General features: G+C 33.3%; 1 protein-coding gene across 17 annotated transcripts in view; it reads right to left on the reverse strand.

The window, feature by feature from the left end:
* Positions 1-15,076, reverse strand: part of SHPRH (SNF2 histone linker PHD RING helicase) — a 106,521-nt gene that overhangs the window by 62,340 nt on the left and 29,105 nt on the right. For 15 of the 17 annotated variants that reach the window (XR_942393.4, XR_942390.4, XM_047418600.1 and 12 more), the window contains 9 exons: positions 14,730-14,986; positions 12,880-13,001; positions 7,012-7,100; positions 6,027-6,119; positions 4,562-4,669; positions 3,466-3,608; positions 2,486-2,659; positions 2,109-2,171; positions 990-1,215 (listed from right to left, as the gene is read on the reverse strand). Coding sequence is in view for 15 of the 17 variants with exons in the window: in XM_047418600.1 (XP_047274556.1) it covers positions 990-1,215; positions 2,109-2,171; positions 2,486-2,659; positions 3,466-3,608; positions 4,562-4,669; positions 6,027-6,119; positions 7,012-7,100; positions 12,880-13,001; positions 14,730-14,986 (1,275 nt within the window). In the remaining 2 variants the exon portion in view is untranslated. Of the gene's footprint in view, positions 1-989; positions 1,216-2,108; positions 2,172-2,485; positions 2,660-3,465; positions 3,609-4,561; positions 4,670-6,026; positions 6,120-7,011; positions 7,101-12,872; positions 13,029-14,729; positions 14,987-15,076 lie in introns of those variants that run through there. The other 2 variants (NM_173082.4, XM_047418604.1) reach the window with 2 other exon arrangements.

Below are 15,076 nucleotides of genomic sequence, written 5' to 3' on the forward strand. Positions count from 1 at the left end.
GAGCTCATTCAATTGCTCTTCTGTGAAAAGGTCTGCAAAGTTATGCAGAAAATATGTACCAAGACCTGGGAGAACTGCACAGTAAGCTCTCTTCTGGACAAAGGGTATGTGGCCAAACTGAGTCGAAAGGAAGAATACAGGGGCAACTGAACATCATAAGTAACACTTCTTCCAAGGCTTACTGTAATTAACTGTGTTAACGTGCTTTGTATTCACATGAGTAATGTGTGAGAAAAACATTATTATAAACCAATGATTTTGATGTTATAAATGTATTCCCCAATTTATGACATATGAACTGATAGTACAAATAACTATCTCTCTGCATAAAAATTTTTATCCTACTTTAAAAAGCAAGACTTTTTAAAAAAGAAATTGAATAAAAATGTCATTATAAAAAAACACTTCTTTCCTTCCTCTACCTATGTCACCTGTAAAGCAGTACAATGGATAACTAATCCAAATAAAACAATAATTGAAAATTAATGAATTGTGAAATCTCAAGTACAGAGGTATAATATGATGGAATCATTAAAGTACAAATATGAAAGGGCATATCGGGCTTTATTTATTGGAATGGTTTCCAAACTTATAGGATAAGAAGTATTTACTATGTTCCCCAATCTTTAAGGTAGCTGATGCTTGCTTGTTATTCACAGAACAAAAACAAAACTCTAATTTCATATAATAGCAGTGGAAGATCAAGCTAATAATAGAATGAACACACTTTCACGGCTAAACAAAAAGTTTCATATAAGTTCCAGTTTAATAATGATTTTCTTTTAGTAATTTAATAAATAGAATGTCTTTGAGTATTATGGTATTTGCTATCCTTTATTACAACAGTTACATTTCAGGCAAAGAGAAATTATGCCACCTCAATCTCAAAAGAAGATTTTAAAAAACTGGAGAGAGAAAAAAGTAGCAGTTAAAATTGATGTAAAAAAGAAGAATTTTTAATTTTGGAAGGAAGTTTTAAAATACTATACCTTATATTCCTTCTTCCATGCTTCAAAGAGATCCATTGAAGTGCTTCCTTCATCAACAAATTCAACATCAAACCTATGTGATTTTGCAAATGATAGTATTGCTTTCATAGATCGCTCTGTCTCACTTATTGCCCAGAGACCCCGGGTGGTGGTAGGTGCTCGATCATCCACCAGTCCTTCTTCATCTTCTATCATCTCCTCAAATATTGCAGTCTGGCCTTTGACTCTGAAAACATACCAGAACAAAACAACAGTAACTGGTATCAGTGAGTGAAAAGCAACCTTCAATGTGAGTTCTAAAAGAACATGTTTGCAAGTCTTTGGAAAAACCAAAGCAACCTTGAAAAAGCTGAAAACATCATAAATTTGGCCAGTTTTTTTTTTTTTAAATTCTATTATATCCACTGTAATAAACAGAAAGCTACTGATTCATTTGCCATAACAACACAAAAATCTTGTTTTCTTCCTTGACATGCAGAAGTGAACGTTTGGCAAGGAAATATGTGAGGAAAATTTCTATTTTAGAGAAGTTATATCTGTTGGAGATAAATAAACAGAATTTGGACAGAAACATGAAGAAATGTATTATTTACTTCAGTAATAACAGAAAAAGATTTGACCTAAAATAGAATAGTAATACACCTGGATGAAAGTGGACACATTTATTGTTCTAACAAGCTTCCCTCTGAGAATCCAGGTGTTTGTGACAATGTTTACTTATGGTTTCATTAAAGTAATAACATATTTGATTGTGTCATTCTTTATTCTTGAAGAAGTTATGCCGGACATTATGAGTTCTACCTTGAATAGCAGTAAAATGCTAGCAAAATCTGTATAATTCAAATCCACTGGATTCTAGAGTCTGGGATTTTACCACTCCACAAAACTGCATCTCAATTAATTATATATTACTACACTATGAACATTTAGGGGATAACTTCTGGATAGGTAAAACTGGGCATATTAAACAATCAAATACCAAAGGTGTACTAATCAATTTAATTAAAGAAACAATATAATAAAGGTTACTGTGGGGGAAAACATAGTCTTATATCACATAACTGAGTCTTGCAAAATGTTTCATTTTCTTGATGGGTAATAATCAAATAGAGAACTTACGTGTTGGAAAATAGCTTTGATTCATACTCTGTGAACAATTCATCAGCTTTACAAAAGACACAGCTGAAAAAAAAGAGATTAACAGAAATATTCACAAACATAACCAGCAATCTGGTAATTTTAAGGAGAAGCTTAATATTTTGACTTCATTTTTCTTTCCACTAGATATGCCATTTTAGAAAAAACAAATCACATGGTTTTTCATACCTTGTCCTTGAGACTTTATTTTTCTTTAAATTAGATTAATACATCTCTTTCTACTTCTGTCTCAATTAAAATGAAAAAACCTTTACTATATGAGTCAATTGTTTCTTCTCTAAGAAATCTAGCTTAAAGAAATGGTACCATTTCATTGTATGATTTCTTCTATTACCTACCAGTTGAGAGGAAGTCTGGCTGGTCGGAGGTGACAGACTGTTGCAGACTCAATAACATTACGAGATGGAGGTCCCTCCAGGTTTTTTACAGCCTCTCTTACTAGCTTCTGGCATTTATTTAGCTCTTCCATTTGTGTTGTAAGTAAGAACTGAAGACCTCTGCAATCACGGAACCTGATTCCCACACCAGCACCACACACAATACAAAGAAAAGAATAATAGGTCAATTTCCTCAAATTCAGAGAATGGTTGCCAAACAAAGTGTTAAAGAAACTGTTTGCTGTTTTTTTTTTTTTTAACAGCAACATTTGAGTGAGTTTTCCTTCAGAATGTATTCAAAGTATAATATTGGGCTGTCTACCGTAAAAGATACCAAAAAAATTTGATAGTCCTGTGCTCAGGAACTGAAAAAGAGCATGAAAAATGTATGTCTGTCTCAGATATCTTTGAAAGTGTACGACTGCCACATTCTTCCGTTTTAAGCCTGACTACAGATAGCCTTCCTGACATCCTTGCTCTATATGAGGAGGTGCCTGCAGGATGAAACATAAAAGCAGAATATTGGGAAGAAAGAAGAAAAATGGCTAAGAGTTATATTCCTTGGTTGAATATATATATATATGTATATATACTTAATTAAATCTGTAATTATGCACTATATACGAGGCACTTTGCCAAGCACTTTTCCTGTATAATTTCAATAGTTACTAATGTGCTCACATTATGAAGTGTAAAATATTAAAGTAACTAAAGTAACAAAGGTAGGTCGCAGTTAGGAGTTAAACCCAATTATAGTACCTATAACCATTTTGATAAACTGTGAATAAAAAAGGCTGCAAAAAAGAAGTATGAATGTGTCTGTATAGGTTTATGAATGGAGAAAAAAAGCCGGTAATAATGAGAAATTAGAAACTAGAAAATACAAGGATTTCTTTGCTTTTAAAATTATGAGTAGATACTTTTTCTTCCTGTTTTCTTACTTCTCTGACATAGAAAGCTTGCCAGTTTGTTGCTTGTAGTTGCTGGTTATTTCATTTCGCACTCGCTGAACTAGCTCCTCATCAATAGTAAATTCTATTGCTCTGTGGATCACATTTAGCCACCAAGGAGAATTAGAATGAATCTGTAAAAAAGGTAGCAGTTAATCAATTAATACATTTTTTTTAGTACTCACTAAGCTTCCATCACTGGGCAGGGTGATGCCAAAATTCAAAGAAAGTAATAAATGCTATTCTCAAAGGGACTATCACAGAGGGGAGACGAGTATACATATTCCATGTACAATGCTCGCTTCCTCTTTTGAAAATATAATTAAAGAGAAACCCCTATTTCCTAACTACTCTGGATAAATGGGAATTTATTGAATGCATTTATATAACAAAGCTGTAACTAAAAAAACTGTTTACGCCAAATGAAAATTCAATACTCAATCTATATGTGTGAAAAGGTCACAGGTCTCTTTATCAGCATAAGAAAGAAAGCCTTCATTCTAATCTTTAACTAACTGAACCAGATTCTACTTAATGAATAATCCACAATAACTCACAAAATTATATCCCAGAATACTAAATAATGAATGAATTAGAAAGACAAAAATTTGCAACACCTGATTTAAAAACTGAAAATAAAAGTGTATTTGTGTAACCTCTTTAGATTTTGCTGCTGATTTCATAAAACTGAAATTTTAGAAATGACAAGTGGTATATATTCTGCAGGAAAAATACCTGTGGTTCTAATGTATTAACATTTTAAAACATCTCAGAAACAAGATAAAAAGGAGGTTATAGAAGTCTTTACTTTCTTCAAAAGACAACTGTTATATACTCATGGTAAGAGAAAACCCATGAGTTCAAAAGAAAGAGAACTCAAAATAGTTGACTTATTTATGCATCTGTTCACTCAACCAATAAATCATTGCTAACAGTAAAATAAACTTGTATTGTGGGTCAGGCAATGTGCTAGGTGCTAAGGATTTCAAAATGTATAAGAAATTCAAGTTTCTCCCCACCAAAAAACCAAAACTCAAAATGATATCTGGAGGCAAATACAAGTAAGAAACACTGCATTTTGGCATACCTTTCTTTGAAGCTCATGGATGGTCTGCTGCACAGGATATAAAGCTTGCTGGGCTTCAGCAACTTCTGTATTACACTTGCTCATGTAGTGCTCTCGCAGCTGTTTGGCCTGTGTTGAAACAGAGAATATAAACTTTCACTCCCAATCTAGAATATAATTCAGTATGATGTTTCAAGAAGAATGGGTCATTTTATACATTTAAAGCTACTTAACTGCATTTAAACATAAAAGTCCAAGTATACTGTAGAGAACATAAAAGTCACGCTAAAAATTCCTTATATATGGAAGTTAACAAAATTTACTTGTCCAAGTAACAAAATTTCAGAAACACCGAATATTTGTTTGCCAATTTCTTATTTAATTTTTTTTTTTAGTTAGAATAAGCAAAGAGGGGAAAAAAAGAACAGTAATATTTCAAATGATAGGCAAAGCAAAGACACCTTTCTAAAATTTGGCTAATTTAGTTATTAAAATTCCTTAGTTACTGCAGTTTAAAAATAATCCTTGAGAATACACAGTAACACAGGTGTTAGGAACTGAATTTTGTTTCCCCAAAATTCATATGCTGAAGCCCTAAGAAAGTAGATTTTAAATGTTCTCACTACACACACACACACACACACACACACACATGCATGCAATAAAAATAAAGAGGTAATTGATTTAGTTTGATTTAGCTATTCTAGTGTCTACATACATCAAAACATCAGTCTCTACTCATGAATAGATAAAATTTTTGTTAATTAAAATAGTTTACCAGGGCACCTCCGCCCCCAAAACAACCAGTGCAAAAAGGCTGTGCTTATTTATATAATCTCATTTTTTATCCTGTTGACTCAAATAAAGCCTCCACTTACAGGTTCAATACATTTCAAACATACCTACTCTTTTGATTTTAGCTCTTTAATGTTTAACAACAGCAAAAATCCCTGGAAGAATCTGCATAATAAGCTATTAACAATTTATAGTAAAATAATTTATAATATCACTCTTTTCGATGTCATTCTTTTCAAAAAGAGGCGACACTTTTTGTAGAGGAAACTTCTTTGGGAGAACTACCACCAAAAATTTGACTTTATTTACCCCCTTAAAAAATACACAGAAATGTGGAGAAAGTGCAAAAGTTTGTATATTTACTAAGCTACCTCTTTTGTAGATCTGCCATGAGATCAAAGTTTCTTTTTTAAAACTCATTTATTTACATCCCATTCTGTTGGCTACCAACAGCCATATCTACAACAAGCATTTATCACATAACTGCAGGTAGATCAGCAGAGAAGCCAAATAATACGTACTGCTGCCATTCTCTGCTACCCAAAATCACAACAAAATTCGAAACATCAAAGTAACAGGAAAACATGATTACATTTATTTGTATGTTGTATGTCCTAGGATATATCAACTATATGGAGCATAAAGTTTGAAGAAAATATACTTTTATAGACAGAATGAAAAAAATAATTACCTCTTCCTCAAGTCGGCCATCACGCAAGGTAGGTGGTATCCCTGGGTGCCTGGCTATCAACAATTCCATCAAGTTATGGGTAGCATGAAGTCTCTACAAACATATCAAAGGCAGTAATTATGACAGTCAATGCAGAAGACTCTGAAGAGAACCTAATATTAATATGGCACACAGAACACTAACACCACATTAAGATCATATCACCAAATACTTTTCCTATAAAAAAATCTGAGTACTACTACTTTGTTTTCTTTACTCAAGGGCAGGGTGTTAAGGTCTAGGACCTGCCTTTTGTAACCCTTATCCATGCAGAATATCAGATTTATATTTAATTTTTCCTCTCCCTCCACTTTTCCATATGTTCCTCTAAATATCCACTCTGGTACTTGTGAACATGTTAGTCAGTCCCAAGGTCAATATTGTGAATGGTAATGACATCTTACCTGGGACTCAAACCTAAACTTGCCAAAATTAATAAACCCATTTCTACTTCTTATTTAGCTAGAGAGCCTTGTCTATATGAGTCAATGACAGATCCAAGAAGGGAAAGAGAAATAAGTGTTATAATTAAAATATCCAAATCTCCCTAAAGACCTCTAAAAATTATCATTAGATAGATTTTATTGCTTAGTTCCTTTTCTTTTTAATGAAAACCATGTGAATAAATATGTTGATATTCATATGTCAAAGTGATAAAACTGACCTACTCTTGGAAGTACAAGTACTTTGAGCTATTTTTAACTGTAGCTTATATAGACTTACCTTGTCAGGCTTGTGCCCAAAACTTCCCTGAATGGAATAGTAGTGATTCTCAAATGTTAGTGTACATACAAATCATCTAAAATGCTTATTGAGAAGACTGAATCCCAAGTTTCACCCAGTGATTATGACTGTTTGTTACCATTTATCCTCTTAAACATTCAGAAAAATTATTTTGTTAAAAAAACAAACAGAATACCTATGAAACTGTTTAGTCTTTACTTACTTGAAGTGAATCAGTTTTGAGTTTTCCTTTGTGTTCCTCCGAGGAGCGCAACACTTCTCTGTACAATTCTGCTGCCAAGGCATACTCACCTAAAGAATTAAAATGTATTTAAAGCATACGAGAGTCACATATTTAGTTCCCAATGTCATCTAGTTGTCCATTATTTAAGAATACTGTAAAAATAAAATGTAATGATTATAACTTTTTTTAAGTAAAGAAATTTGACTTGGTATTAATATGATTGCCCAAGTTTTAAAAAAGGCTGAGTACAGTTCCTTTTTTAATTCCATGGAATATAATGTTCTTATATTACATTTATAATATTTTAAAATTATACTGAAATATGTTTATAATCAAACGTTTGTAATGTTTTGAGATTATGCTATTGGATAAACTTTTAATTTAGACAAAAAAATTTCCTCTTGCTGAAGTTAAAAGGTGGCAATCAGTAGTCATTATGATGTTTGAAATTAAGGATAAACTTAAGGTAATTATAGATTATTTATTAAAAAAAAAATTTAAGACACTCCAACCAACCCACACATAGCGATCAGAAAAATATAGTATTCTTGGTAGCTATTATTGTTCTTGGTATTAGGCCAAATAATTTGCAATTAAAAACTTCATGTCAGAAACTCAGGGATCTCCCTCTTCTTCTGGTCACACAAATCATGGTCTGAGATGTATGCTGTTTTCTACTGTTCATAATCAGCACCTCATTCAAATAAAGCAATTCAAAAAGTATCGATTAAAGCACAGTCTGGCAAAGTATGGCCCATGGGTCATTTCTACCCTCTGCCTATCTGTTGGGCACATCAGCTTAGAATGAATTTTACATTCTTAAATAGTTGAAAAAAATTCAAAAAAAATATTTCGTGACATGTGAAAATTAAATTTCAGGGTCCATAGTTTTATTAGAACCTAGCTCTGCTCATTTGTTTTTATACTGCCTGTGGCTGCTGTTGTACTACAACAGCCAAGCTGATAGTTGCGCAGAGATCTTATGGCTTGCAATGCCTATGTATTATCTGCTTCTTTACACAGAAAGTTTGATGATATCTCAATAAAGTAAGAGATGAACATTTTTAATGGCTTGAATAATAGAATCTATCTTAACTGCTGCTTGTAAAATTCAAGACAGGTAAATTATAAATACTATTAAAGTAAAAACCTAACACTGGCAAAACCATGCAATCCATACCAAAAAAAGGTACAAGATGTTCTAGCTTTTATTTGCTGAGAAAGTTTTTTTCCTAAGTATCACACATACTTTCTTTTAAAAAAAAACTTCAAGCTGGTTTTATGAATATCATGTAATTAGGACCATGTTCATAGTTACAATGAGATATATATATATATGCAAACCTTTGTAAATTTTGAAGTTGGTTCTGTTTTTAGCTCATATATAAGTTTACATACATATCTTGATTTTGGTAAAATATACATAAAATTTACCATCTCAGCCCTTTTTAAGTGTGTAGTTCAGTGGCATTATGTATATTCAGTGTTGTGCAAAACACCTAATTTAAAATAAATTTTGCAACAATAGCTCTTATACCATTGCTTTATATCTAGTTCTATTAGTTAGCTAATACAAAGCTTTCTAAAACACACATTATCAAAGAACTGTAGTCAGCCAATTTCTATTCCCTTTAAATAAGGGAGAAGATTATTTTCACAATAATAAAGTTACTTTATAACGTAGGCATTAACATTCAATTATCTTCACAGTGAGTTCTCTTTTTTTAGTTAAGAGTCTTGATTAAAGCTTTTCAAAGGACATTATGAATTCTATCAGTATTTATACTACCATTTGTAGAGAATAATTCAATTAACAATTTTCTCTTCATAATTACCATACCTTTTAAAGAAGGTATAGTGATTAAACTATAATGTAAAGCAGCTGAATTTTATCTATTCGTTATAATACCTGGTTTTGCATGTTTATTTTTAAAAAGACATGCTTTCTGAGGAAGATTAAAAAAAAACCCATATTCAATGTTATAAAGGTTTAAGTCAAATTTGGAAATACCCATTCTCAGCCACTTGATGGCGCTAACATTTCTAAGAAAACTGGTGGATTTGATATTGTCAAGCTAATTTTCTCCGAAAATCATCTGCAGAAAACACAATGTTCAAAATTGGAATAATAAAATGTGTTTAATACCAGTCAAGGAGAATCTCAGAATATGTATTAATGTATCATACGTATTTATTTACATATAATATAAGCAAATCTTTTTAGAGTTTGAAATTAATTTTAGATTTCTTTTAAAAGTCAGACCTTCACTGTCTGATCTTCACATTAGAAGAATCTAATTTATGTAAGTTATATATGTAATGTTACTTTAAAAAATGAATATTGTTTAACACATTACTATGAAGTTAATAAAAACTAAAAGCAGCAAATCTATTACAATTAAGTTGAAAATTACAATTCAGAAGGAACATATCCTCTATTAATGGACTTTCTGGTGGCGGATTTCTCTTAATAATCAACAATACACTGCTAGCTAAATTGAGGACTTTCTAGGGAATGCCCTAGAGGGAAGATTTGCACACAAAGTTACGTGTACTATATGTGAACAATTTAACACGAATATATAATAATAGGCCCTTTTCTATTAGATATTGATAACAGAATTTACATTGTGAGCAGGTTGAAAGTGGTAAGAATCTGAGGTAACCTTCATATTACCATAACCAATAACATCATTCTTCATCTCTGTTTTTATAACGTTTTCAATGTGCTTCTACATTTTGTATTAAGAACAATAGTTGAGGTAAGTAAAGCACCTGTAATATTTTATTGACAAAGACACTGAAGTTCGGAAATCTTGAACAATATATACCATTTCACAGGGTTCCAACTGCAGCATGTAAGTAGGCCCACCCTATTCAGTTCTTGTCTAGAGCTATTTCTGCTCAGCTTCTGAGAATCCTTATAACTCTACCCAAGTATCTAGCACAATAAGAGACACTTTCCATTTCTGGTTCTATTATGCTAAAGAGCTAACAACTACAGACGGGCTACTCAAAGAGGCTTAATGTAAGAAGATTTATATTCTACAAAAAGCACACATTTCTTTGGGCAACTGATTTCTTTGTACTTCATTTGCTCTTTTTTTTTAAATTTCTTAAGGTAGCAGCTGAAGTCTCCGATATGAAACTTTTTTCTTTTCTAGTACATGTTTAATGCTATGAATTTCTTTTTAATAACTGATTTGCTGCATCCCACAAATTTTGATATTTCATTTTTATTCACTTCAAAGTATCTCCTACTTTCCCTTTTATTTTTTAACCCAAAGGTTTAGAAGTGTGTTATTTAATTCACAGCATTTGCGGACTTTCCAGTTTTCCTTCTGTTATTGGTATCTACCACTGTGGGCATAGAACACACTCTGTAAGCATGAATCCTTTGAAATTTACTGCCTTGTTTTACAGCCCAGAATATGCCCTATCTTCATATACATTTAATGTGTACTTGAAAACAATGTATATTCCTCTTTGGTTGGGTAGTCAATAAACACTGATTAGGTCAACTGGTTGACAGCGGTGTTTGAACTATGTATGCCCTCACTTATTTTTTACTTATTCTATACATAACTGAGAGAGGGATGTAGAAATCTCTGACAATAATTACGCACTTGTTTATTTCTCGTTATAATTCTATCAGTTTTTAGTATTTATTTTGAAACTCTTGTTTTAGGTACGTTAATATTTAGAATTTTTTTCTCTAGTGATAAAGTAACACCCTTTATCCTTGGTAATATTCTTTGCTCTGAAATCTACTTTATAAGTTCCAGTGGTACAATCAGTTAGCAGGCAGTATTAATAAGAAATCTGTTTTACTTGATAGAAATATAGTGGCTTTATCGTTCTTTTGATTAGTGTTAACATATCTTTTTTCATCCTCTTACATTTGCATCTTTAAATATAAAGTAGGTTTCTTATAGAGAACATATTGATGGTTATTGTTTGTTTTTAATCCAGTCTGACAATCCAGGCCTCTTAATTGGGATATTTAGACCATTTCAGTTTACGTGATCACTGATAAGCTTGTTTTTAAATCTACCATCTTGCTGTTTGTTTTCTAATCATCTCATTTGTTTTTTGCACCCTTTTTTCTTTTTTTTGAAGATTTTTAATTTATTATTTATTTATTTACTTATTATTATTTTTGAGATGGAGTCCTGCTCTGTAGCCCAGTCTGGGGTGCAGTGGTGCAATCTCAGCTCACTGCAACCTCCGCCTCCGGGGTTCAAGTGATTCTCCTGTCTCAGCCTCCCAAGTAGCTGGGACTACAGGCGCATGCCACCACACCCAGCTAGTAGAGACGGGGTTTCACCATGTTGGCCAGGATGGTCTCCATCTCCTAACCTTGTGATCTGCCTGCCTCGGCTTCCCAAAGTACTGGGATTACAGGCACAAGCCACCGTGCCTGGCCTGATTTTTTATTTTTTCTTTTTATCTATTCTTTTGGATTATTACCTCTAACTCCTTGTTGTATGTTGAAGTGGTGGCTGTAGGGTGCACATTCTTTGCCTTGTCACACACAGTCTACCTTCATATAATATTATACCTCTTCATATATAGGATAATAATCTTACAATATTATACATCCACGTCTCCCCACACAGACTTTGTATCATTGCTTTTACACATTGTACATTTACATGATATAAAACCCACAATATATTTCTTTTTTTTTTTTTTCCTTTGGGGACTCCAATACATTTATATTAGGCCATGTGAAGTTGTCCACAACCTCACTGAGGCTCTTTTCAAAATTTTCAGTCTTCTTCGTTTTTCATGTTGGAGAGTTTCTATTGCTATTCTATACTTTGACTTTATTGATTTTTTTCTTAGGCGGTGTCTAATCTTCTATTTATTAAGTGAATTTTCTATATTAGACATTGAAATTTTGATTTCCAGAAGTTTGATTGCATGTTTTCAAGGTTTCTACTTAACATGTTTCATCTTCACTCTTGAATCTATGGAATACAGTTTTAATGTTTCTCATATTTATATGGAAAGGTGTGTCTATATGGTGCTTATTAAAAGTGCCAGTTATATAACTTTGCTTCCAGCCAAGATAGAGTAACAGACAATGGATTTACTCTTCCCTGCAAAAACTACAATAACAGGCAAAATATACAAAATGACAGTTTGTAAGATATTAGACCTAATGCAAAAAAAGTGATCCGTGAGAGATGGAGAAGCCACTAATACTCTTCCATGTAAATATAAGATGCTCTTTCTAACCTGCTTTAATTTTGTGCATAATATATAACACTATAACTTTACACATATACGTTCTGTGTGTGTGTGTGGGAGGGTGTGTGTGTACTTGTCACCCTCTGTAAGAATTTAAGGTCTGCAAGATCAGAGTTACTTTATTTACCATATCATCGTTACCTAGATCAGATGTGGCACACAAATATTTGCTGAAAAAATGATCCCACAAACTATTATTTTTAAACCAATGAACAATAATTCCTTTAATGTGTCAAAATTTAACCATTTTTCTATTTCTAATCATTTTGACTGTTTACAGTTGTTTACTATTAAACTATTAAAGTCTAAGATTAACAACTTCAAGGGAAATCTGTGTATCCTCATTTCCTTAAAAAAGAACTAAAAATGGAAATGTTTGGTTAAATCATATGTAAACTTTGAAGGTTTTCAAAACGTTCTATGAAACTGCTCTATATTAAGTTGAACCTATTTAAACTATATTCAGTAGTGTGTGAGAGTATCTTTTTGGGGGAAAAATCCCCCCCCCAAAAATCAAAATCTATTTTTTCTATAATTAACCTTCCTCAGGAAGTGTTTGAAAGAATCAGAGATAAAGCAATCACCTTCTACCTTTAATAATATGAATGCCTGCTAAGCCATTGAGAGCACAAACTAGCTGTCGATGTGCTTCTTCACATTCAGTTCCACATTTCTTCTGCAAAGATGTCAGCAGCTCTTCCATTGTCATGGTGCTAAAAGAAAAGGTAGACTGTTCAAAACTAGAAAGAAAATCCCAAGTGTGACTTCAGTGGGAGTGTTATATCTCACATGATCAAGAGTGTATGAGACTCGCAGTTTTTGTGGTATCTCTAGCATTTTTTTTCGCCTCAATTTTTACCATTATTTTTTCCCACATAAGTACCTTTATTTGATCACATCCTTCTTTAAGTTTTTCCCATTTCAGTAAAGGGAGAATGAAACTAGAAAAATCTTCCTCAAGTACAAAGTACAGCATGACATATTTGAAACATTACAGGTATTAACATGTAAGACTGACTCTGAATCCCAGCACTGCAACTTAATTAGAAAACCTCTTTGAGCCTGAATATTTTTTTAATCAGTAAAAAATGAAGATCCTCTAAGGTTAAATGCCATTCCTTCAAAAGGCTGTCTAACCTTAACCATTCATATATAAATTGTTTTCGGACTCTAACTGTACACAGCAATTTGTTCATATATCTTTTGAAATTTACTATGTTCACTTCATATTTTAGAAATCTATAATTTTCATCATTTCCCTTATTTGTCTATAACCTGCTTAAAAGCAAAGACAAAACTGAATCCTCTTTCTATCTCTTATAGCCAAAGGCCAGTTCCTGAGTTGCAGTCTGATTCACAAAAACTTTCTGGGACAATAGAGTATTATGAACACAAATTTCTTAATGTTCTCAGAATGAATAATCAGAGAGATAGAAAATATTTAACGGTAATCTAACTCCCTGATGTGGGAACTATGAAATAAAATAAGAGCAAAAGCCTTTCATATCTGGAGTACAGCCAAAACCCTAAATAACAAAATAATTTTAAAAAAAACCTCAACAATAATCCTAATTTTAAAAGAAGTGTTCAAGGCCAGGTGTGGTGGTTCATGCCTGTCATCCCAACAGTTTGAGAGGGTGAGACAGGAGGACTGCTTGGGGCCAGGTGTTCAGGATCAGCTCAGGCAACATAGCGAGGCCCTGTCTCTACAAAAACATAAAACAGGCCGGGCGTGGTGGCTCACGCCTGTAATCCCAGCACGAGGCTGAGAGGGGTGGATTACCTGAGGTCTGGAGTTCAAGACCAGCCTGACCAACATGATGAAACCCCGTCTCTACTAAAAATACAAAATTAGCCAGGCTTGGTGGCACATGTCTGTAATCCCAGGTACTTGGAGGGGTGGGGCAGGAGAATTGCTGGAACCCAGGAGGCAGAGATTGCAGTGAGCTGAGATTGTGCCACTGCACTCCAGCCTGGGCAACAAGAGCGAAACTCCATCTCAAAAAATAAATAAAATAAAATAAAATAAAATAAAATAAAATAAAAAGTAGCTGGCTGTAGCAGTGTGCACTTGTAGTCTTAGCTACTTGAGAGGCTGAGGCAGGAGGATCACTTGAGCCCAGGAATTTGAGGCTGCCACTGTGAGCTATGATCACACCACTGCACTCCAGCCTGGGAAAGAGTGAGACCCCGTCTCAAAACAAAAAAAAACAAACAACAACAAAAAAACACCATACCCACTGCAAAAGAGAAATGCTTAAAACCATGAAAATAATTCTGGTAATTCTCCGTTGCAAATGAGCTTCCATACCAAAGAAAACCCTCTACACCATTAAAGATAACTGACAACTCAGTTACATGTCTCTGAATGAAACCGTGGGCCTGAAATATTGTCTATTATGATATACCAACTGCAATTAAAAAAAAGTTGATAATAAAACCTTTTTTGGAGTGGCAAGAACTCTCCACGAACAGCCTGTGGGTGACAGCAGGCCTGTCTGAGCCTCAGCAATGGATACAGGATAGAGGTGACAGTCCTTCTGTCTAGGCTGCTGAGCTTCAGAGCCCAGTCAGAAATCTTCCTGAGTTTTACCACCACATCCTGGCAGCACACCTCATGCTGACGGTGATAGAAATGCCTTTCCACTGGAGAAAAGTGGAGCCAGTGTATTTCTTCGGTTTGTGGTGGTATTTGGATCTGTGAAAAGGAGCAGAAAAAAAAAAAAAGATATCATCTAAAAATTTATCTTTCCATCCCAATTGTTTCTTTTCTCTTATAGTACCTTTA

Source organism: Homo sapiens, chromosome 6 (genome assembly GCF_000001405.40).
Source record: "Homo sapiens chromosome 6, GRCh38.p14 Primary Assembly".
Lineage (NCBI taxonomy): Eukaryota > Metazoa > Chordata > Mammalia > Primates > Hominidae > Homo > Homo sapiens.